We start from the raw sequence: 25,786 nt of genomic DNA on the forward strand, positions 1-25,786 counted from the left end.
CTTAACTGTTACGTTTTCTAAAGATTCATCTTTATAAACAGTACAATTATTTCCCTTTGTAATACAAACAGAAACAATTAGAAAGCAACATCTCCTGCAATTAAGATGTATGTACAGTATTAGTATAAAACCAAAGAGTGATATTTGAGCTATTCAGGATTATAAATTGATTTTGTCCCTGTGGTATTCTCTACAAAGGGTGTTTCAAAAATAAAGACTGAAATCTAAAAATATATCTTTGGTTTGAAAACTTACTTAAAAGCATTTTTAGAGAGTGTGTGTTTTAAACAGGGGGTATGAAATTGCATCGGGAGCCTAGATTTCAAACTAAGCATTTCTTATTTCACTCCCTAACCACAGAACAGTTCAGATCTCAGATTCAAACCAGAGGGCCACAGAAACCAATTTGAGATTTTCCGAAGAGACTTCACTGAAACGTATGGACAAAAACATGTTTGCGATGAGTCATATTTTATAGGACCTTAATGGCCAATAAATGCCTTATGTGTCTTTCTTCCTACATTCAGTATCACTCCCAAGCAAGCTGGTGACATATTTTCCAGGCCTTGATAATTTTTATACCGTTACCAGATCTCGGTTACTAAGATTCATGAACAAAACCCTTTCTTGCGCTAATTTTTTAATGCCATCTAAATGAAGAGAACGCGATTCTTTCCAAACTAACTCTCCCCAACCAGGCAGTTAATGCCCTTCGCCAGAATAAGGGCGCGATACTTTTAAGACCCCAAAGAGAAGCTCAGGTGCTTTGGGGGTACTACAAGTAAAAAGACAGTGGGAAAGGTTCCTGGAGAGCCGCTTTGGGGGAAAGGCAGACATAACAACAGGATATGTTCGTTTCTAGAGGAAGCAGGAGCTGCAATAGCCCCGGAGCAGGAAAGGCGGAGTCAGCAGCGCCCAAAGGAAACGGGCGCGCCAGGGTTTGCTGGAACCGGGGTTGCTTAGGGGTTCTCGCCCCGTCTAGTCCGAGACTGCTGAGCACCTCGCCCCCGGGGGACCAAGCTCAGGCCTCCTGGCACTAGTGGTTATAAAGAGGTACCCATATGCTCTCTGCCGCCCCTGCCAAAAAAAGGGCCACGGAGGGGAAGAGAAAAAGCACACACCAGGCGCCGCGGCAGGTGAACTTGTCAACAAGTCAACCCTGGACGCAAGTCCCTGCCCACCAGGGAGCTCGGGGTCCTGGGGCCGGAGCCGCCGGGAAGGCGAGGCGCGCGGTGGGTGGGTGGGGTGGGCTGGCATGGGTGCCGGTGCTCCCAGCGCTGGGGCCGGAGCGCGGAACGCTTCCCTACCGCTCCCCCGGGGCTGACGCACGCTCTCACGGCGCGCGCATCCTCCAGACCTTCCCAGGCCGGAGGGAGGAGGGGAGGGGAAGGGGCTGATGCGGTTCCCGCACCGGGATCCGGGACCCGAGGAGGCGACTCGCCTATCACGCGCCGCCCGCGGAGGGCAGAGAAGGCAGCTCCTACCAGGCGTCCCCGACCGTCCCGGCTGCCGGGCGTCTCCTGCTGCTTCCTGCAGCCCGCCCGGCGCGCCCCCGCCCCGACCCCGGAGGGCAGGTACCTCGGAGCCCCGGCCCCCAGGAGCCTCCCGGCCGCGGTCGGAGCGTCCCTCCGGATCACTCATCCGACGTCAGCGTCAGCCGAAGGCGAGGGAAAGGGGCGGGGGGAGCGCAGGAACCGGCCCTTCCTGCGGCGGCCGCCACCAGCCGGAATAGCAACCGGCGGAGCCCGTGCGCACCGCAGCGCAGCGCAGCGGCCGGGGGGTGCGGGCGCCCTCGCCGCCCGGCTACCTACCGCCGCCTGGGCGCCGCCGCTGCCTCCCTTCCCCGCTTCTACCCTCCAGCAGACGCCCGCCGGAGCGACCCCTCCCAGGGTGACCGGGGGAAGGTGGGTGGCGTTGACCTCACCTTGCTTGGGGAGGGTCGGGGACTCGGGGAGTGAGTTTCTCTCTCTCTACTCCCCGGGGTCTCTCCTCGACCCCCATCTCCTGGGGTATCCCCCGCTCGGATCCGCCGCCCAGAGTGACCCCGCCCCTGCTCTCCGGCAGGTGTTCCACGTGGCCATAGCGTTTGCGTCACAATGACCTGGCGGACAGGTGGGAGCCACAGCGTACACCCCAGGGTTCCCTCTGTGCTGTGCGTAGTGCCTACTGCTTGCTTCCAGGTTAAATTTCTGTAGCTTTAGAGGACAGGAGACTTCATGACTTCACTGCCAAGAAAAGTTACAGAGGCCTGCTGTACCTGGAAATCAAGTTTGAGCTTCGAGAATAAAGGTCATGTTTTAAAAACAGCTGTGTATGTATAGGTATATGTTTTTCATTTCCATATATTTCTGTATCTTTTATTTTTAAGTTATTGCCATTTGTAGCAGTTTCATCTTCTCTTATCCTTTGTCACCAGGAAAGAACCAAACCATTGTTTCTAGAGACCCTGCAGTATACAGATCACAGGAAGAAAAAGTGTTGGCATAGCTGCTTCCTAATATTATCTATGTGGAAATGAAACCTCAATGTAGTATGACTTCATCCCTAGTTATGTTATACATTTATAAATAAGTTCATTCAGTCGTCGCTGAAACAATTTAAAAGGGCCGAATGATAGTTATTGAGTAATGATGCTGACGAATCAGAAATCCTGCGCTAACATGGATGGAGTGCTAGCTCTATGTCCGGCACATGCTGTATGCTTTATATTTAATCCTTACAGCAACCCAATACTGTAGATAAAATCATTATCCCGATTTCACAGATGAAGACACTGCCCAGAGTGCCATAAAGAGATTATTGAGCAGGGATTTGAATCTGAACCAGGAGACTTAGCTTAATCTCAAGATAGCATGGTGTCTTGCCAGAATGGATGGAGAAAAAGTATAGAATATGTTGACATTTTAATAGAAAGATAATAAGATACCTCCAGAAATTTACATAACCTTTAAAGTTATTCTTTGGGGATTCTGTTTGTCATAGATTTGAGCCTGTCCTAGTCTTAACACGAATTTTGGAGCTGAGTAAACATCTCCTTAGTAAGTGTGTATGAGTAAACAAATCATGAATATGGTCTACAAAATAGCAAATTGTTGAAAAGCTAAGATTCAGGAGAAATTTTCAGAGAGAAAAGCATTGCTTATATATATTTGGCTTTTATAAAAAAAAATTCAAACTAACGTGTTAACAACGCAAGCCAAATGATTTTGCTGTAAGAAAAAAAACCCAAAGCCTTTAAAATGAGAAAGTCTTCCTTACAAAAGAAAGATGATTAAGATATGTTAAGATACATTGATTCCAAGAACTGTAAATTTATGTGTAAAAAGCTATTATCGGGAGTTAAAAGGATAAAGAGATTATTATTCTTTAACAGAATGAAGTGCCGTAATGAACATCATAGGTGCCCGATAAATGTTGACTGAGCGTTATCATCAGTTAATTGAAGCATTGAGAAAGGACTAAATCACCTGAAAAGTTTTTCCTGACTCTGTAATGTTCTCCTTTCTACCAGTTACATGAAAACTTAATCAGAAGCCCCATTGGTCAAAGGCTGGCTTTGGGGCAAATATTTAAATCTGTTACAAAACAGCCAGTAGAATGGGAGGTTGTGTGTGTGTTCAAAGTATCCCCTCAAAATGCAGATGATTGGAACAAAAGCATGAAGGGAAAAAACGGGGACAGCTGAGCTGCAACTGATTACGCAGTTTTCTTTTATGCTTTCTGAATTCCAAGGTGAAAACGATGACTGTGAGTCTAACCTGTTACAGAGGCTAAAAGTGGCTTCAAAAGCAATGTCTAAAAGAGAACAAATACATGATACAAGCATTATGTAGTCAACATGGCACTGAAATTCTTTGGGCTCCCGGAGAGTTTAGGAGAAAACCTTAACTGATTTTTCTTCATTCTAATTATTGTCCTAACACTTAGCATAATATTTGAGAAAGGAAATAATAGACAACTCCTGCTCATTCTCCATCACCACAATGAGTACTTTTCCTTCCCCTTAAATAAAATGGCTCCATCAATAACACTTGCATTTGTTTCTGAATAACCAGCTGTTGTTTCCATCTTGCAGAACACCAGTAAGGTGCTAGTGAGAACCCGAAACAGTTTCTAAGGAGAATGGCTATTGAATGATGGGATCAGAAATTAGGAGAGAAATAAGGTGCGTTTTCCAGTGTACAACAGGATGACAAAATTTTCTATGAAAAAAATCTTTACATATTCAATTCAATAATTTTTTCAAGAGCTTCCCAGATTCAAGATATGCTAATAGGACCACAAGAGTTGGATTTGTGTTAAGCTACTAACAGAGACTTGGAATAGCGGTGGATTAAATGAAATAGGGCTTTATTTTTTCTCACTTAAATTGGAAGGTAGGCAGTCTAGGGCTGGTGCGATCTCCACTGTGTCACTGGGCTGTTGCCCTTCTGTCATTCTATTCTGCCATCCTAGGCAAAGCAAGATTGCCCAAAGGTAAACCCAGGCGAGGATGTAAATTGGTGGTGGAAACTGCTGGTGGGAAAGTAAAATGGTGCAACCACTTTGGAAAACAGTCTGAAAGTTCCTTAAACGATTAAACATAGAGCTACCATGTGACCCAACAATTCCACTCCTAGGTCTATATCCAAGAGAAATAAAAACCTATGTCTACACAAAAACTTGTACACAAATGTCTATAGCAGCATTATTCAAAACAGTCAAAAGGTCAAAGCTGTCCTGCTGTAGACAAATGAATAAACAAAATGTAGTATATTCATGTAATGGAATATTCAGCCATGCAAATGAATGAAATACTGACATATGCTACAACTTAGACAAAACTTGAAACATTATGCTGAGTGAAGGAAGCCAGTCACAAATATATTATTCCATTCATATGAAAGTCCAAAATAGAGAAATCTGTACAGGCAGAAAGTACAATAGTGATCATTTAGGGCTGGAGAGAGTATGGGTGAATAGGGAGTGAGATCTAAAGAGTATAGAGTTTCTTTATCTTCTTTTTTTCTTTTTTCTTTTTTCTTTTTTTTTGAGACAGAGTCTTGCTCTGTCCTGCAGCATGGAGTGCAGTGGCACAATCTCGGCTCACTGCAACCTTCGCCTCCCGGGTTCAAGTGATTCTCCCGCCTCAGCCTCCTGAGTAACTGGGATTACAGGCATGCACCACCATGCCCAGCTAAGTTTGGTATTTTTTGTTTGGTTGGTTTTTTTTTTTTTTTTTTTGAGACAGAGTCACACTCTGTTGCATAGACTGGAGTGCAGTGGCACGATCTCAGCTCACTGCAGCCCCCATCTCCTGGGTTCAAGGGATTCTCCTGCCTCAATCTCCTGAGTAGCTGGGACTACAGGCATGTGCCACCATGCGCAGCTAATTTTTGTATTTTTAGTAGAGACAGGGTTTTGCCATGTTGGCCAGGCTGGTCTTGAACTCCTGACCTCAAGTGATCCACTTGCCTTGGCCTCCCAAAGTAGTAGGATTAAGAGTTTCTTTTTCATGTGATGAAAATGTTTTAAAATTGACTGGTGTTGTTTACAAATATCTGCCATATGCTAAAAACCATTGAGTTGTGCATTTTACAATTCATTGTGAATTAGTGGTATGTGAATTATGTCTCAGTAAAGCTGTTTAAAAAGTAAAAAAAAAAGGGGTTCATAGTTTTATTGGCACACACACACACATGTGTGCACACATGTACACAGTAAATCCAGTATCTTCCTCAGGAATAGTTACAAGGTAAGAACCATACAACAAACCCCCAAATATGTGACTTATTTTCAGATTTCTGGATACTATTCAAATTCTACTGGCGCTAAGAAGCTAATTATGAGGAAACAGGACAGAAAAATCTGTTAATGAAAGAGAAATATTTCAGGTCCATCCATTGGATACCTCATGATAATATAAAGAAAAGTTCCTGCTGCGCAAATATTTTGCAAGTGTGCTCTAGTCTTATAACATCTCAGCCTTCTTAGCTATCCCTGTTTAAATGAAGGAAGAAGCAGACTGCCTACCAAAACAATCCTTTTGGATAAGCGCAAACACAGATAATAATGAATTTTATGGAATTGAACTTAATAATAACAAGGAGGTAAAGTGATAAGTTTGTCCTGATAAGTTAATATTAATGGAGGATACCACTGAAGGTAAAACAAAACCAGCTCCCCACTCTACCCGCCCCAAATCTGCACTTGCAGTAAAACCCCCCCGCAAAAAAACAAAATAAGAATTATGACACTAAAGCCCCAAAATTCTATCTTAATTCTTCAAAAAGAACACTCATTTCAGAGATATTTTCAAATTAATGCCAGTTATTTTGAATGAGCAAATTATAGGAATATTCATATAGGAAATAAGTTTTTCAGGAGCTATTTAATGGTCTTATGTCTTAAGGGATCCTTTTAGCTGAGTAATTCCAAGGCTTCTTAGTGTTTGCCAAGTTACTGTCCCTCTTCTCCCTCTGAGGTAATCTAAAATGAATTAAATTAGCAATGTATTTCATCTCATGTGACTGAAACAGTGTCATATTCCTAATACATAGGAATATATATTTATTTGTTTCAAGTGGAACTTAATCCATAGGCCATCTCTGATTTGACGTTGATTATCATGTAGACTGAATTCACTAATATCTCTCTTGCATGTATATGTATTTATATAAATTATATATGGACATACAAATACAAACTACTCATTTACATATGATCTGGTCTATTTTATTGCATTGTTGATACATATTTTTGATGTTCTCAATGTTCCTTATGGTCTTAGATCTCAGCCAGCGTGAGCAAGTGAGGCAGAATGCCCCTTTCTCTTGGTGTGTGGATACTGTAAGGCAAATGAACCCTCTACCATTCCTTCTAGACAGATGTTTATAAGCCCCTACAGTTCTGCAATCTTTTTATTTCCTGATTCACGTTTGGCAGCATCATAAGTACTCATTGTACCTGTTCTATAGTAGGGGATGTTGAGACAGAGCTTAAGCTATTATCATTATCAATGTGTTTAATAAGAGCCGTACATATAAATCTCTCCAGAGCTCAGCTCATTAATAAGAAAAACAATCACTTTCTCTTTAGAGTTGCTGAGAGATTAAAATTAGATAATCTAGAAGAACAAACTTAGAAAAAATGATGTTTAAAAATTATTAAAATCGGCCAGGCGCGGTGGCTTGCGCCTGTAATCCCAGCACTTTGGGAGGCTGAGGCGGGTGGATCACGAGGTCAGGAGATGGAGACCATCCTGGCTAACACGGTGAAAACCCGTCTCTACTAAAAATACAAAAAATTAGTCAGGCACGGCGGCGGGCGCCTGTAGTCCCAGCTACTCGGGAGGCTAAGGCAGGAGAATGGCGTGAACCCGGGAGGCTGAGCTCGCAGTGAGCGGAGATAGAGCCACTGCAGTCCGGCCTGGGCGAAAGAGCGAGACTCCGCAATTTCTACAGGTGTTATAAATTTAAAGGGTGTTATAAATGTAAAGAAAGATTACATCAAATTTTATTAATAAAAATAAAGTCATTTATTCCTGGATTGTGTAATCCTTAAAAACAAATTTGGATTTACTCAAGAATATGGACTAATTTGGCCAGTTTAATTCCTGTGACATTTGTACTTTCTATGTAGCAAAACAAAGCTTTTGTTATACCCTCAGCAGAGCTAGTTATATCTTTAGGCAGATTTGTGTGTGCATGTGAAAATAGAACAAATGTTTAATTAGTAGCATTAACTTTTATTAATTAAAATTAACTTCCTTTCCTTTCAAAATTAAGGCTATAATGAAGAGAGGAGCCTTGTTTTACACTAAAAGAAAGGTAATTATTTTCATTATCACATCAGCTTAGATTTCTGCATAAATAATGCTGCTCTCCATCTCACCACCCCTAGTATCATCCATTGGAACTTCTGCAAGAAAATGCTGGTGATGGCATCAAAATGGGACTTTTTTTTTTTTTTTTTTAATTCACTGCAGTTGGAGAATTTTGTCATGTGCCATAGAGTAGAATCCTGCTTCTGACTAGGAACTATGCTGGAGTTTGGCCTAGCATAAGCCCAGAGTTCACAGCTGAGCCCTAGTCTTCATAGATGTAGAGCTAATGACTCCTCAGAGGGTCACACTGTCCAATAAAGAACAGGATTTAACTAAAAAATTAGGATGAAACTCTCTTGGTTCTTCGTATAGCTCGCTCCCCCTACACAGGGACAATTGGGAAGAATCACTGAAAATTCGGGTGCAGATAATTAAGGTAGTTCAGGTGAAACATGGACAAACATTTGGTTTAATCATGGAATAAGAGGCTGAATTGCAACTGCAATTCCTGTTTCTTAACCGTCAATCTGATGAGCTTTTCCTCTTCCAGTTTTAACTCAGTCACAAACTTGTTTGGCAGATACTGTTAATCATTTCCCCAATATTTATTCTTCCCCTTTTCTACAGTAATATAAGTTTCAGTTGAGCACATTATTGCTAAGTTACATTGGTTTTAGCTTCCCTTGTTGCAAGGTGTGGTCATGTGACTAGGTTGTAGTGAATAGGATATGATGGAAAGACATGCATATAACTTTTGTGTCCTGCCCTTGAAAGAAACACATCCTAATCTTTACTTTCTCCCTTTCCCACTGGTTAGATCGCCTTTGGCCATGCAGGTGAGGGCAACACCTTGGGAATGGCAAGGAACCTGGGCCTCTGACCCCCCTGAGCTGCCATATTGCCTTGGCCCTTCTGCCTGGATTGTTTTATGAGAAGGAAATAAAGTCACTATATTTTAAAAATATTATTGCAGCTCAGCCTTTATCCTCATCAATCCAGTTGTCTGCCCCATGACATTGGATTGGACCTTCATTTCTCATGAAGTTTGTATTCTGAAACAATGATTCTCGATCTGTGGGTCCCAGGACCATGAGGGTCTGTGGTGGTGACACAAAGGATCCTAGGATTCAAATCCCTAACAAGTAATGCCCACAAACAGAACCACTTGCTTGACAAACAGAAACAACACTTTTTGGAATGTATATGATGTGATTACAAAATAAAATTTATTTAAAACCATTAATGTATTTCTTGAAATGAAGGTATGTTATTGATGAGTCTCTTAGCTTTGTACATCTGAAAAATTCTATTTCGCTTTTGTTTTTGAAAATTTTTTTACTGCTAAGGAAATTTATATTGACTTTTTTTCTTTCAGTACTTTTAAAGATTTTGCTTCATTGTTTCCTGGCTTGCATTGTTTTCAATGAGAAATCTTCTATTATCATTATTTTTGGCCCTCTTTTTTTTTTTTCAATGGTTGCTTTAAAGACTTTTTTTTCCCTATCATTGGTTTTAAGCAGTTTGATTATGATGTCCTTAGTGTTGTTTATTCTTACATTTTTGGCTTTGCTGAGCTTCTTGGAGCTGTGGGCTTATGGTTAAAATTAAACTTTGAAAAACTCTATCCATACCCAGAATAGCCAACACAATATCAAAGGAGAAAAACAAAGATGAGGGACTGATACTACCTGACTTCAAGACTTACTATAAATATGCAGTAATCAAGAGTGTGGCACCAGCAAAATAATAGACAAATAGACCAATGGAACAGAATAGAGAGTTCAAAAATAGATACAAATATAGTCACCTGATCTTGGACAAAGGAACAAAGGCAAGTCAACGGAAAAAAAGTCTTTTCAACAAATGGCATCCGCATGCAAAAACATGAATCTAGACACATCTCTTACACTTTGCAGAAAAATTAACTCAAAATAAATCATAGATCAAAGTATAAACCACAAAAGTATAAAACCCCTAGAAGATAAATATAGAAGAAAATCTAGATGACCTTGGGTTTGATGGTAACATCTTAGGTACAATACCAAAGGCAAAATTCACAAAAAAAAAATGGATAAATTGGACTTTATTAAAATTAAAAACTTCTGTTGTGCAAAAGGTACCATCAAGAGAATGACAAGGCAATATACTAGGAGATAATATTTTCAAAAATATATCTGATAAAGGACTATTATTCAAAATAGACAACTCTTAAAATCAACAATTAGAAAATTCATAATCCAATTTTAAAAATAGACAAAAGGGCTGGGCGTGGTGGCTCATGGCTCATGCTTGTAAACCTAGCACTTTGGGAGGCTGAGGAGGGTGGATCACAGGAGCCCAGGAGTTCAACACCAGCATGGGCAACATGGTGAAACCCTGTCCCTCAAAAAGAAAAAAAAAAAAAAAAGCCAGGCGTGGCGGTGGCATGCCTGTAGTTCCAGCTACTTGGGAGGCTGAGATGGGAGATCTCTTGGGCCTGGAGAGGTCAAGGCTATAGTGAGCTGGGATCATGCCACTGCACTCAAGCCTGGATGACAGAGTGAGATCCTTTCTCAAAAATAAGTGGCAACAGATCTGAACAGATGCCTCACCAAAGATGATATACAGATGACAAATATATAAAATGCACAGCATCATATATAACTAGGGAATGGCAAATTAAAAGAATGAAATACCACTACACACCTATTAAAATGGCCCACATCCAAAACACCGACAATACCAAATGCTGATGAAGGAAATCTCCATTGTTGGTGGGAATGCAAAGTGGTATAGCCACTTTTGGAAAACGGTCTTGCAGTTTCTTATAAAATTAAACATGCTCTTGCCATATGAGCTAGCAATTGCACTCTTTGGTATGTACTCAAATGAGTTGAAAACATGTCCACACAAAAACCTGTACAGGAATGTTTGTAGCAGTTTTATTTATAATTGCCAAAAATATGAGTGTGTGTTTAAGGATGTATGGGAATTCTCTGTATTTTTTGCTTAATTTGTCTGTAAAACTAAAACTGTTCTAAAAAGACTTTATTATCTAAAATTCTTCAGTTTTTATGTCTTCGAAAATGTTTTTGGCTCCTCCTTTTCTCTCCTCTCTTTTGGAGACCAGCTACACATATATTTAACTGTCTGAAGTTGTCCTATAATTCACTTATGTTCTGTTTTTTTTTGGTCTTTTTTATTTTTCATAGTTTTTATCGCTATGTCTTCAGTGTTACTGACCCTTTCTTTAGCAAAGTCCGTTCTGCTATTAATTTTATCCAGTGAATTTTTTTACCTCATCAATTGTAGTTTTTATCTGTAGATGTTCAATTTGGGTCTTTTAAATATTTTCCATGTCTGTACTTACTGTGTTCAGTCTTTCCTCTAGTTTCTTGAACATATGAATGCAATCATAATAACTTTTAAAATCTGTGTCTACTTATTTTATAATTTATCATTTATGAGTCAGTTTCAATTGATTGATTTTACTCTCATTATGTTTGTATCTTTCTGCTTCTTTCCATTTCCTATAATTTTTAATGGGATCGCAGACACGGTAAATTTTATGTTATTGCATAGTACATACTTCTGTATTTCTAAAATATTTTTGAGCCTTGTTCTGCATGTGGTTAGGTTACTTGAAAACAAATTGAACCTTTTTGGTTTTGCTTTCAAGCTTTTTTTAGGTGAGACCAGAGCTGTGTTTAGTCAGGGGTTATATTTCTCTACTATTGAGGCAATAGCATTATTTATATTCTAACAGACTGATGCCCCCTGATATATGAGGAATTCCCCTTTGGCTGTTGAAAACAGGCACTGCTGTCAGATTGGTGTGAGACTTGGGGGCACTGTTCTTTATCATCCTTTCTGATGGTTCTTTCCCTGGTCTCTAGGACTTTCCTCATCTGCATGGGCTGATTCATACTCAGCTGAATACTGGAGGGGAAAACTGTAGATCTCTGGAATTTTCTCTCTGTACAACTGTCTCCTTTCTGGTACCTTGCCTTGCAAACCCAGTCCATCTTGGCTATATTCTGAGCTCCATCTCTTAATTCACTGAGACTGCCAAGCTCTTCCTGGGTTCCCACTTTTTCTAGCATGGCCCGGAAACTTTTTCCAGGTGCTAAGTTAGGGAAAGCATAGAGTTCATCTCATCTGTCTCCAAGGGATGACCATTCTTCTTTGCCTAATATCCAGTATTTTGAGTAGCATTTGTTCTGTTTTGGCTATTTCAGGAGGGAACATAAATCTGGTCACTGTTATTCCATTTTGATCAGAAGTCAAAGTCCCTCCATTAAAGAATTTGCATTATGTATTTCTTGATCTATATTATATGCATTGATATATATTTATATGCATTTGATATAAATTTGATATATAGTATATGCATTTCTACTATTTTTTTGAGGAGGGTCTAGGAATTCTCTGATATTAAAAAAGGTCCTCAGGCTGGGTGCAGTGATTCATGCCTGTAATCCCAGCATTTTGGGAGTCCGAGTTGGGAGGATGACTTGAGGCCAGAAGTTCAAGGCCAGCTTGGGCAATATGGTGAGACCTCATCTCTAATAAAAATAATAATTAAAAAAAAAGCCGGGTGTGGTGGTACATGCCTGTAGTCCTAGCTGCTCAGGAGGCTGAGGCAGGAGGCTCCCTTGAGCCCAAGAATTCAAGGTTGCAGTGAGCTATGATTGTGCCACGGCACTCTAGCCTGGGTGACAGAGCAAGACTTTGCCTCAAAAAGAAAAAAAAAAAAAGATCCTCAAGAACACTTCAGCTGAAGAGTGAGTAAAAACCAGAAACAGGCAATTCAAGGAGAAATTGCAATGATAAACGTTTTTAAAACCCACATTTTTTAACTAAAAAATGTTTAAACAAAACCAGTTTCACCTATCTTATTGACAAATATGAAAAATGTAATGCTCAGGGTTGATGAGAATATGGGAGATGAGCATTGTCATACTCTCATAAACTGAGAAAAGAAACAATTTTATTTTACACCCGTTATGGAAGGCAACTTGGTAATATTACAAAATGTTAGTAGTACATATCTTTTGACCCAGTAGGTCCACTTAGAATTTTTTCTTGCCGAAATAATATGGAAGTTTATAGTAGTGAATGTGTGAATATGGCAATCACAACAACACAGTTTATACCGTTAAAAAATTTGTCCATCTTGGCTGGGTGCGGTGGCCTGTAATCCCAGCAGTTTGGGAGGCCAAGGTGGGTGGATCACCTGAGGTCTGGAGTTTAAGACCAGCCTGGCCAACATGGTGAAACCCCATCTCTACTAAAAATACAAAAACTTAGCCAGGTGTGGTGGCAAGTGCCTATAATCCTAGCTACTTGGGAGGCTGAGGCAGGAGAATCGCTTGAACCTGGGGGACGCAGGTTGCAGTGAGCTGAGATCGCACCATTGCACTCCAGCCTGGAAAATGAGGGAAACTCCATCTCAAAAAAATAATAATAATAATAATAGTAATCGTCCATCTAAAGGAAGGATTAGTTAACAAAATTATGGTACATTTACATGTTGGAACATTGACAGCTGTTGAAAGGATGAGGTCAAGATTTTTTTTTCAAGTGAAAATAGCAGCTTGTATAACACAGTGTGAAATATGATTTTGTTTATGCAAATATTTTCTATGTAACATTAAAATCTTGTAATGATATTCACTAAAATGTTAACTGAAGCTATCTCTGCAGAGTGATCTTTTTTTGGCTGACATTGGAGGTGGGGGAAAGTTGTATTTTCACTTATACTCTTTGGTAGTGTTTGAATTTTTAAAGTGCACATATAGTATTTTGTAATTGACAAAAATAAAGATTTAAATTTTGACACCAGAACAAAATAAAAGAGATCCTCACATTTGAAAATGTTGGGAAATACTAGTTTAGATGACGTCTGAAATTCCTTACTGTGTAATATTCAATTCTTCTAATGACCTTCTAATAACCTTTGAGATTAGTCTAGTGCTAAAAGTCTTCTAGTGCTGAAAGTCCATGACTTCCTCCCCTCTTGCTGCCGCTGCCATGACAAATATGACTTGCTTAGGTAAATCTTGGACACTCCCTGATGGAGAGACCCTTACACTGGCTTATTCTTATATTTCTCATATTTCAAGTGACTTTATTCCTTGGTGACATCCTTGAGCTGATATAGGAGACCTGCAGCAAGACACTGGAATTTGAAAAGGCTAGAAGTGGCTCTAGGAGTCTCATCACCTCTTTGGCGGCCTAAGGTTGTACAGATGTGGATGGGAAGGGAGGAGCATGAACTGATTTTTTTATATCTGTATAACTAGGGTTTTCTATTTTATTCCCAGAGTAGTAGGATGGCTTATCATTCATTCAGTAAGCATTTATTATCTCAAACTTGATGTGACCGAAAAGTATTTTTTCTCTCAGAGCTCTTTCTTCTTATCTCGGCAAGCTTAAAAACCTCAATGTTATTTTGAATTCCTTCCTAGTAGTTTACCTTATGTGCTCAATTGGTTGCTAAATTCTGGTTCATTACAAGTCTATGATTCACTACAGGAAATTGCAGTTTCCTTTATAGTGTCTCTCAGCTGTCATATCCATTTTTCTCATTCTTATTTCCATTGCCTTTCTAACCCTGCTTCTTACCTGGAATTTAAAAACATCTTCCACCTAGGATTGTGTATTTTAACCAATACAAAATCAGCTTAGGTAATCACAAAATACATAATTTGCATACTTTTTGTGACTACTTTATGCTAAGAATCGAATGTGTGTGTGGGTTGTGGTGGGATGGGAGATGATATGTCAAGTAATAGAAGACAACTCAGGTCTTTGAGTTACTCTTTAAGTATGAAGCTAATTACATAATATTTTGATTGGCTTCAGTCCCAACTATAAAATTTTCAACGGGTTACCTCAAAATCCAATACCTAATCTAAACATTCGAAGCCTTTATCAGTCCTAATTTTCTTTATTCACCTCTCACCTTCTAATACTAATTTATGCATGTCCTCTCCTGGTCACCACCCCCCACATTCAGCCTCCTCCTTTTCCTGGACATATATTTACCAAGAACAATCACTGTCTCCTATTGCCAACGCCAAACTTGTAGTGTGTCCTTCAACTCCAGGTTGGAGTCCCCAAGAAACCCCTGGCCCTCCCTTTTCCACTTCCACCATTACTACTGCAACTTTATCTGTATGTCCCAAACAGTTACTAGAGCTCTGAATAAATGCTTGCTGAAGCAAGCTTAAATGAAATCTTTCTCACTTAGAAAAACAAGAGCCATTGGACCTATAACCATGACCCAGCTCAAACATTATGCATTCTCCCACAAGAGATATACTTAGGCAATTAGGTCTTTGAAGGCAAAGACTCTGCCCAGCTTGTGTGTTCCCTTACACATCCACCATAGTGCCTTGAATGTACAATGTTAGGTGTTTAATCAAAGTGTGTTGAATTAATGGATGAGTGAATAGTTTGTATACAACTAGACCCTCTGAGGGTGGGGTGTTAATTCTCTTGGCTGTGTTTTGATAAAGTCTCTCCATTAATTCTTAGCCATTTTTCAAACCAAACTTTGATACTCAATACTACTATTTTATAATACTACATGGTCTGATATTCTCTATTATAGATTTTCCAAATTTACTTTATCCCCCAAATCAGGTAAACACTTGTGAAATATGTACACTCACCAGGCTCCTTCGAAATCAGATTTTTTTTTTGTACAATTTATGGGGTACATGTGCCATTTTGTTACATTCATGGATTGTGTAGTAGTCAAGTCAGGGTTTTTAGGGTACCCATGACCAGAATAACGTGCCCATTAATTAATTTCTCATCATCTGCCCCCTTTCCACCCTCTCACCCTTCCCAGTGTTCATTGCCTATCATTCCACTATGTCTATGTGTACACAATTTTAGCACCCATTTATGGCTGGGAACATGCAATTCCAAATAGAAAACTTTGGTAGAGGGACCTGAGATTCTACATTTTTGACAACTAACTCAGCTGATTCTTATGGCCAGAAGAATCTGAAAACCCTTCTCTATCGTAAAATTCAATGGGTATTAGTTGAGGATAATTATTATATTTGAGCTTTATGTCAAATATAATTCTATGAGTATTAATTTGATGTCAAAACACCTGAACTCCAGTTTCATTCACTACCATCTAGGTGATTGGAGGCTAGTCTAGTTTTTCCCCAACTCTCCGCACATTAGAATCAAAGGGTATCTTTTAAAAATCCCAAAACTTAGGCCACACCCAGACCAACTAAATCTCAATCTTTAGGGCTGCCACACAGACATGAGTACTCTTTGAAGCTCCCCAGGTGGTTCCAACATGCAGACAAGTTTGGAACAGCTGGGATAATCATCTACCCTCTCTAAGCCAGTTTTTTCATATATAAAATGTGCTAATAACTCCCCTCCTAAAATATAATGAAGAGTTAATCTAATTAATGCATGTGAATATACTTTATACATGACAAAACTCCGTATAAACCTAACACATTCTATTTTAGGCTTCAAATATTTTATTTATATTTTTAAATGTATTATAAAGACAGGGTCTTGCTCTCACCCAGGCTAGAGTGCAGTGGCATGATCATAGCTCACTGCAGGATCGAACTCCCCGGGCTCAAGTGCTCCACCTCAGCCTCCTGAGTAGGTAGGACTACAGATCCGCACCCATATGCCTGGCTAATTTTTAAATTTTTTATAGAGATGGGGCCTTGCTATATTACCCAGACTGGTCTCAAACTCCCGGCTCAAGTCATTCTTCTGCCTAGGCATAAGCCACTGCACCCAGCCCAAATTTTTTTTTTTTTTTTTGAGATGGAGTCTCGCTCTGTCGCCCAGGCTGGAATGCAGTGGCACAGTCTCGGCTCACTGCAAGCTCCGCCTCCCGGGTTCACACCATTCTCCTGCCTCAGCCTCCCGAGTAGCTGGGACTACAGGTGCCCGCCACCACGCCTGGCTAATTTTTCGTATTTTTAGTAGAGAACGGGGTTTCACCGTGTTAGCCAGATGGTCTCCATCTCCTGACCTCATGATCCACCCGTCTCAGCCTCCCAAAGTGCTGGGATTACAGGCGTGAGCCACCTCTCCCAGTCCTAATATTTTCCATAAAAATTAACAAATGTGCAGTTAGAAATTTTTGTATTTTTCTGTATATTTACATTTTTTATGGTTATCATTGTGTTTGCCAGTTCAACAGATTAGCTTAGATTCAGCTCGCAAAGGAAACTACCATTCCAAAAGCTGTCCTTACAATTTAGGTACATTTCCATCAGGTGGCAGTAGTGTCTTTGTCCTGGTTGAAAGCAGGAGATCTCAGCCCTGCCAGCTATCAAAGTTTTTCTTGGCTGGGCTTTATCCCCAGATATTTTGATTCAATAGGTGTGGAGTGGGACTGTATGTAGCATCTATAAGTTTATAAAGATCAGCATGTGATTCTGATGCCCTGTTGTTAACCACGGTGAGTTTGATATTTCTGGTTAGGCCTTCTGCTATATCTACCAGATTTAGTCATAGACGTTCTACTTTTTAATGTCAAAAATAATCTCTTCATCATGTAAAGCAGAAACAATTTTAGAATAGTTTTTAAAAGTCTTTAAATTCACATAGGTCCCATTTCTTATTTCTACTACTGTTTAATATTTAATCCTACAATTTTTATTTAAAATGTATCTTAATATATACTCAAACCTCCCCAATGACTATGACCACGACTTGCCTTTTTAAAAAGTCAGAGAATATATGATTCCCTCATGGGCGTGAAGCTCTCTCCTTAGGGCAGAGGTTCTTAAACTTCAGTGTGGGCAAGTAGACCTGAGAGGTTCATTAACAATGTGCATTCTATCTTGAACTAATGGATCAATTCTTGGAGTGAGGCCAATAATTGCACATTGTAAGCCATCTCCCCAGGTTATTCTGATACACACCATATTTTGAGAACCACTAACTCTGGCACTGAGAGGCTGGAGCAGCCTGGGTAAGGTAGAGAATACAGAGAGAGGGCTCACAGAGTCCAGGTGCAGATCTGTAAGAAACTGTGTTCCCTTCTTCCTGTGCTTCATCTTTGTGTAAATGGTGATAAGTGTGCTCTTATTCAGGCCATATCTGGCTCAGTAACCCTGAGGAGTTACCAAGTATTGGTTGGTAAGTTTGCAGCAGAAACCTGCCAACTTATGTTGCCAATCTTAGCATGGAACCTGGGACACGCAGTAACTATTTATTGGTTTACACTGAGGCTATCCTCCTCTTCCTCCTCTGTTACCTTTTCTTTCCTCAACGTAACCTCTTCCATCTATTGTCTTTTCTCCCTGTTGTGTTGGTTTGTGATCCACTCTTGAAGAAACACCCATGTAGATCAGATTTAGACACTAAAAAGAAGAAAATATTTTTCTGAAATCCTATCAATAACAGTGAAATCACCCATTCATATTTAAGTTGCAAGAATAGCATGTTTGTTAATTATCTTGGGTTAAGTTTTTTACTATTATGTACAATTGTATTTGGTCTTCTTTAGTTTCATGACTATGCTTTTATTTTGAGCAGTTTACTTTCATTTACTAGCATCTTAATATATACAGCCTGAGTTGTCATCTGCCTTTGATTTCAGATAAACTGTGTTCCTTCTGCAAAATATGCAGCAAATGATTTTCTACTAAAATTTGTTAGGTTGGTAGGAACACATGATAAGCTTGGATCACTGGATTTTCATTTTTGATATTTTATGTCCTAAACACACTTGCAAGTTATTTATCAATGTTTATGTTAAATCAACATCTAATAAGTATTGCCTCAGCATTACTTGAAACCTACAAAATCTTAACAGTAGACTTTAAAACAAAAATGTAGATCATGATAGAAGCTGGCAACTTGATTAATCTCTTTCTAAAGCCTTTACTTAAAACTATAATTATATATGCAGTTCTCTGTCCACTCCCCTGCACCCCACCATAAACAAGTTATATTCCTTATTGTGATTTTGAAAGGAGGACTAACTACAAATGGCTAGATTAACACTATTTATATAAGAGCTTTAATCTTGTCTGAGCCATCGCCACCTTTTTGTAGGCACTATGACTTCTCACTTAAGTTATGGCAATTGTCCTTCCTCCTGGAAGGACCCTCCTAATCTATTATCTAACCTAAACCAAGGGTACATCTTTCTAACGTACAAACTTAATTGTACTGAATAAAGACTTTCTTTGGCTTCAAACCTTCTGGTGGTTCCCTATGAGGTGGTTATCTATTGCTCTGGCCACCTGGATCTTCTTTCTTTACTGATGGAAATAAAATGAGAGTTTAAAATTTAATATTAGAGGACACATGTGCCGGTCCTTCCTGGGGAGGAGAAGCTATAAAAGGAGAAGCTTGGGAGCTGTCAGTGGCCATGTTTTTCACCATGTGCAGGAACCTGGTCAGTAGTGAGAAAGGATTAAACCAACCCATGGGGAAGATCAGAGATTAGAGGTAGGGAATACATATATATATATATACACACACACACATATATATGTATATATATGTGTATAAATATACACACACATATATATGTATATATATGCACACGTATATGTATATATACACACATATATATGTATATATGCACACACACATATATACACATCTATATACATATATGTATATATACACATCTATATGCATATATGTATATATATACACATCTATATACATATATGTATATATATATACACATCATATATATGTATCATATATACATATATGATATATATACATCATATATATGTGTGTATATATATGTGTGTGTGTGTATATATATACACACACACATATATATATATGATGGAATTTCTCTCTTGTTGCCCAGGCTGGAGTGCAGTGGTGCAATCTTGGCTCACTGCAACCACTGCCTCCCAGGTTCAAGCAATTCTCCTGCCTCAGCCTCCCGAATAGCTGGGATTACAGGCCTCTGTCACCATGCCTGGCTAATTTTTTGTATTTTTAGTAGAGATGCGGTTTCGCCATGTTGGCCAGGCTGGTCTTGAACCCCTGACCTCAGGGATCCATCCACCTTGGCCTCCCTAAGTTCTGGGATTACAGGCATGAGCCACTGCACCAGGCCCAGAGATAGGGAATATTCTGCAGGTGGTATTAGAAGCTCTCATTCATGTGGTTCTGTCCTTCCAGAAGTTGGTTTTCCAACCCTTCCTCGGATCACGTGAGATACCCCAATACAGTCTTATGAAGAACCCCTTTTATCTAAGCCAGATAGAAATAGATTTCTGCCACTGCAAATAAAAAGGTGTTCCTTAGAATATAGCTTGTAAGGGCCTTCATGAGATGGAACTGCCTTATCAATTGAGTCTTTATAAAACCCTCAGGAATGTGCTTAGCTGAAAGTAATAGAACACATGACAAGTAGACTTAAATAATAAAAGCATCCTGTTTTCTGACATATCAAGAAGTGTTGACAAAGACAGTTCCAGGGTTGGTTTATCAGCTCAACTAAATGACAGTGACTTAGTCAGCTCTTTGCAATTCTTTGGATCTTTTCCTTGATCACAAGATGGTTGTAGGAGCTCCAAATTGTCTTTAAGACCTAGGTGAGCATTGCAGACAGGGAAGAAGAGGGCAAAAGCTTTCTCCTATCAAGGGTCTGGTTTTAGCCTCGAAGGAAGCCCTGGTGGACTTATCCTTAGATCTCATTGGCCAGAAATGGCTCACATGTCCAACTCTAGACTCATGACTGTGAAGTGAAAATTACCTTGATTAATTTCCTAGCTGTCCCTAAATCAAGGGATCCCTGCCAGTTTTCTGAGGTTCCGTCTGCAGTAAAAGGAAAGAAAGGCTGTAGTGTAGGCAAGGAACTGTGTCTGCCACACTCATATATTTCAATTACCCTCTCTATTCTTCCACCACTACCACCACCACCCCAGTTCTAAGAGCTAGCCTGACTGAACTGCCTTTGATACCCAAACATGCGAGGCTCTCTGTGGTTTCTGGGTCTTTGCACATAACTTGCTCTGCCCTATATATACTCTCTTCCCTTCATTTACTAGCATCTTGGTCTGGGTGGCTCCTACCTTTCTCTTTAGGCCTCAACTTAGACATCATTTCCTTTAGAAAGCCTTCCCTAATATATTGTAATTTTATACTTACTTATTCATATCCCCCACTGGGCTATAAACTTCTTGATGGTGTGTCGTCTGAGTCTTATTTCTCTATTGCCTCACATAGAACCTGCACGTTGTAATGATCAATAAATACTTGCAGAAGTAGATGAAGCACTTCTTGGGTGCACTCAGAATCAACTTGTGTGAGAACCATTTAAAACATGGCTCATAAAAATTTAGGTATTAACTTACTTCTGATTTTTGTTAAAGAGAATGGACAAAGAAGTGATTTATTTTAAAATACCTGATAAATATTTACATTTTAAAATCTTTGCCACGATGGCTTCCAAAGAAAGAACATAGCAAAGGATGATTCCCCACTTAGGCAGGGCAACATTTATTTTACTTGTCTTACAGCAGGACTAAAGATTCTAAGATTTTTTTTGAATGGTCCTTAAATAGTTTTACAAATAGTCAGAGTTCTGCACATGGACTCAACATAAAAACTGAACGTAGCTAAGTGATTAACTTACTTCTTGAACTTCTTAAGATGTTGTCTTACTCTGTAACTTCTTGCTAACATGTTATTCAAAGAAGCAATAAGGTGACATGACAAGGCACTTCCAGTTCTTTTCCAAACAAGGTAATTTTAAATCAGGAATAAAACGAAGCAAGAGAAAAATAATCACCAAATGTGATTAATATAAAGTAGCAGCATTTGGAAATTTTAGCACTTTGAAGTTGGACATTCAGTTTGTAATTAATATGAGGTAATGAATTATTTGTTCGCAAATATTAAAAAATTTACCAGGCATAGTGTGGGGGGCTTCTTTAGGTTTTAGAAGTAGTAGTGCCACCTTTGGGTGTCATACTCTGACTTTTTCTGGGTGGCCTTGACCTGCCAAAAGCTGCCTGTTTTGAGTGAGGCCGAAAGTGGGAAGTAGCTGTCCAGCTGGCTCAGGCTGCAAGGCAAGCAGCTCTGCCCTTTGGCCCTTGTGAGCAAATGGATTTGGTGCTGCTGAAATGGTGTGCAGCCCATTGGAGAGCTATATGGCATCCATGACAAGTGCCTACAAGAGCCATCGTAGAGGAGAACTTCTGTGTTTGGGAAAATGTGAAGACCCCTTTAGCAGATGACCCTTTATTTTGAAACATGACTCCTGACTTGTTCCTGGGCTCTGATAGAGACTGAAAGACCCAACTCTCTGGTGTAAGATGATCTCAGTACTTTGATACCTGACATGGAATGAGTGTTGTCTCAGGTACTTAGCCACAAAGTCAAGCATTCCCAACGGTAGTCCACATTGAGTGAACTGAAAAGGAAGAAAAAACTATGAGGCTGAGCCTGTGGAGAAGCCTAAAAACACAGATAAACGGTACAAGCAGGCAGTCGTATTCCTACTACATTACTTTTTCTTCCTATGCTTCATGGGAGTTTCCAGTGACTAGTGGTCCAATGAGAGAGTTCTTCACTGAGAGACCTAACTTGAACCTGGTGTACAAATGGCCTTGCACAATATGCTAGCCCCAGACAGGATGAGAGGAAGCGTTGCTGTCCTTCAGTGTGGCTGTGAAGTATAGTGGAGAAGGAAAATGCTCACAATAGTTGATTCTGAGCATGAATTTCATTGTCTACTTGACCTGGAAGGAAATATTGTCAACTTTATCTGAGGTCAGGATCTACACCAATTCCTGAGGTAATGATTTGCTCAGAGGTGATATTCAAAATATTTAACACATAAGACAATTGGAATCTATCACTGAAACTAGTCTTGAAGTCCAGTTTTGCCAGATGTTAACCCTTTGGTTTCTGAATTGTGGGGAGTCAGAGATGTCCCTGAGGGAGGGATCGATTGACTTGGGCAATGGTGGGGATACTGGGCAGGGGCTTGGAACAGGGCAATATTTTAGAGATGCTTAAAGCTGATGAGTACACAATGAGTCATTTTTAGTCCTGGTCTGATTAGACGGTCAGAGACTTAGAAGGATCAAGATTGGAGAACTGATGACAAGTAGGTTTTAAGGAAAGTTGATGCACCATTGAAAATGGGCCCAAAGTGTGAAAATATCTGGGTTAATGTGAGTCCTCACTGAGAAGCCATTATTGTAGAAGAGTTTGTGTATTAGTCCATTCTCATACTGCTATAAAGAAGTGCCCAGGACTGGGTAATTTATAAAGGAAAGAGGTTTAATTTACTCACAATTCCACATGGCTGGGGAGGCCTCAGGAAACTTACAATCATGGCTAAAGGGGAAGCAAACACATCCTTCTTCACGTGATGGCAGGAAGGAGAAGGATGAGAGCTGAACAAAGGGGGAAGCCCCTTATAAAACCATCAGATCTTGTGAGAACTTACTATCGTGAGAATAGCATGGGGAACACCATCCCCATGATTCAATTACCTCCCACAAGGTGCCTCCCATGACAGGTGGGGATTATGGGAACTACAATTCAAGATAAGATTTCAATGGGGACATAGCAAAACCATATCAGTTTGTTAATATCCAAGAGAACAAAGTGATTTCTTCTATGGGGGTCAGACATCCTCTGTTCCCAGTCAGTTTCTTGGCTTATGGATATAATAGCTGCTATTGCCAGAATGGAGGTAATTCTTGGGCCTAACAGCATAAATTTCCTTTTACCAGACGCATCTGTATATTGCTAGCAGCAGTGACTGTCACTGCACCTCTAGGGAACTTGGTCTGCTGGTAGTGGGAAAGTTATTTTAAGTTGGGAATGCTTCTTTATCATGGAGTGGCAGCAACTCATCCAGTGGCACTCATCCAGTGGCAGTACTGGAATAGTCTTTCTGAACTTGGATTTGCTTTCCCTGCTTACATACCACTAACACATCGGCAGGATTCTATATATGGCCTCTGACCAATGAACTCACCACTTGATAAGTAAGGCAATAGGCTAATAACTCACTGGCCTTACTGTATAAATATCCAATCATCCTCATGAAGCTATTGAAATGACCTATTGAAAACTTTGCCCTAGTGCCATTTGGAAAATAGCAGATGTGATATGGAGTGTTACGTTGTAAGATATAGAACATGAGCAGAAACAATGACTAATACATTGGTTATTACTTTCAGAGCCAAAACACAACCTAAGAATCTAGGGATGAAGGCACCTCTTACAATTATACTTATTCTCTCACTCTTAGAATTTTTGCTTTAATTTTTAAAAATTGTTCTCTTAACTCTTTTAGCCTAAGGAATTTAGTACCCAATGGAGGACTGCTTCAAGCAAGAGTTTTTGTTTGTTTGTTTGTTTGTTTTAAAAAAGTAGGTTTTATTGAATTGGCAGCTGAGATTGCCACCTGGAGATTTTGTATTCTTTATACAATCAGGGCAAAGATGCTTGGCAAGCTGAGGTGTTGGCTGAAAGCCAGGAGAACTTGGAGCAAACAGGGAAAGTACATATTTTATATGTCAGCAGCAGTCTCATGCGTTCTTGCAGAATGGAGGACAGTAGCCTTCCCCAGTATTTCCTTATTTGCTGCTAAGTATACTATTTATCTCACATTTCCTTTAAACATGAGAATTAAACAAATTTTCTTTTTCTTTCTCCCAGGGCTATATAATGTAATCTAAATATCAATTAAATCCACCATGTAGTTCATAGGCTGAAGAATACTGAGATGGGGTTGTGATAACTGAGAAGGAATGGACATAAGTCAGAGGTCATAGACTTGAAGGACAATGTCTCACCTCTGAGTGCAGTTGCTGGAAATGACTTTGCTTGTCTTCTATTGCCATTGTGTGATGATTGGTTGAATCATGTGTTATGGGTGTTTTTTTTTTGGTACAGGTAAAGAAAGATATGTATGTGAGTAAGCAAGCATGTGTGTATTCTGGGCAGCCAGAGGGTAGATTGTAGCAGATAGCTTTGGGGGTAGCTGTATGGCTATGGCTAAGCATGGCTCCTTTCTCAGAAGGATTATTTGTTTATATACAGACATAGCCCCAGGAGATCACATCTGTGCTCTGTGATTTTGTCTTCCTGGCCATAGCTGCTAGTCTGGGAGTTACCACCTATGTTCTTCATTTTGATGATTAACATTTGGCATGATGAGATAGAGAGATGGGAAGATGTGTAAACTCCTACTGAGGCCCTGGAGTGTCCCCATTTCTTGTCCTTTTGAGCCTTTGTTCCTCTCTTGCATTTTATGAAGTGCTCTATAATCCTTCTGATAACCTTCTCTCTTTGCCTAAATTAACCAGAGTTGTTTTACACTCTTTGCAACCAAAGAACATTAACAAATGTGGAAATTAAAGACTACTTAATATATATAGTGATCTTAGATGTGGTTCCTCAATTTTAACTAAAAATTATCAAGTATTTGTGAAGAAGAAAGCTACAAGAAGAAGACACCTGAGTTCATCTCTTCCTTCATGGGTTCTCCCCTTTCCCTTAATTCTTTGGTGGAAAAAACAGCATTACTGGAGTAATTAACATACATTTTTCTAGAATTAAAATTAGGAACTAGGGAGGGTGGCATGTGGAGGGAAAAAACCCAGCCATCTGGAATGAACGATTTTTTACAGGTAGCCTAGGTTAGCCAGGCTGGTGAGAAAACTAGGTCAGGAGGTGAAGACACATGGACCTGGAGTAATGGCAAGCATAGGATGAAAACATGCAGAACCTGGTTGAAGTTCTCCTGCACTAGCTTCCTCATATGTTGCCATTTCATCAGTCTTGCTGTCACTGGGACAAAGACACATGTTCTGGCAGCAGTGGATAGAGACCATGGAGAAACCTGCCAAATAAGCAAAATTATATATTGGTGGCTTCAGGCATATTATTCAACAATGTCACCTCATCTGCTTTTCTTAATTTTCTTAAAATTTTCTTAGAAAGAAACATTTAATAGGGACTTAAGAACGGAAGCCATGTCTGTGT

General features: G+C 39.8%; 1 protein-coding gene and 1 long non-coding RNA gene across 37 annotated transcripts in view; one reads left to right on the top strand and one right to left on the bottom strand.

Annotated features, from left to right (window-relative positions):
* Positions 1 to 2,040, bottom strand: part of ICA1 (islet cell autoantigen 1) — a 149,372-nt gene extending 147,332 nt beyond the window's left edge. For 19 of the 36 annotated variants that reach the window (NR_146928.2, NR_146926.2, NR_146927.2 and 16 more), the window contains exon 1: positions 1,579 to 1,652. Coding sequence is in view for 1 of the 36 variants with exons in the window: in XM_024446740.2 (XP_024302508.1) it covers positions 1,485 to 1,641 (157 nt within the window). In the remaining 35 variants the exon portion in view is untranslated. Of the gene's footprint in view, positions 1 to 1,484; positions 1,653 to 1,924 lie in introns of those variants that run through there. The other 17 variants (XR_002956426.2, XR_002956427.2, NM_001350825.2 and 14 more) reach the window with 2 other exon arrangements.
* ICA1-AS1 (ICA1 antisense RNA 1) overlaps positions 1,710 to 25,786 on the top strand; it is an 81,057-nt gene continuing 56,980 nt past the window's right edge. The window contains exons 1-3 of the long non-coding RNA NR_125740.1: positions 1,710 to 1,904; positions 2,065 to 2,311; positions 4,076 to 4,165. This is a non-coding gene — a long non-coding RNA (ICA1 antisense RNA 1). The remainder of the gene's footprint in view (positions 1,905 to 2,064; positions 2,312 to 4,075; positions 4,166 to 25,786) is intronic.

The sequence above is a fragment of the Homo sapiens genome, chromosome 7 (genome assembly GCF_000001405.40).
Source record: "Homo sapiens chromosome 7, GRCh38.p14 Primary Assembly".
Classification (NCBI taxonomy): Eukaryota; Metazoa; Chordata; class Mammalia; order Primates; family Hominidae; genus Homo; species Homo sapiens.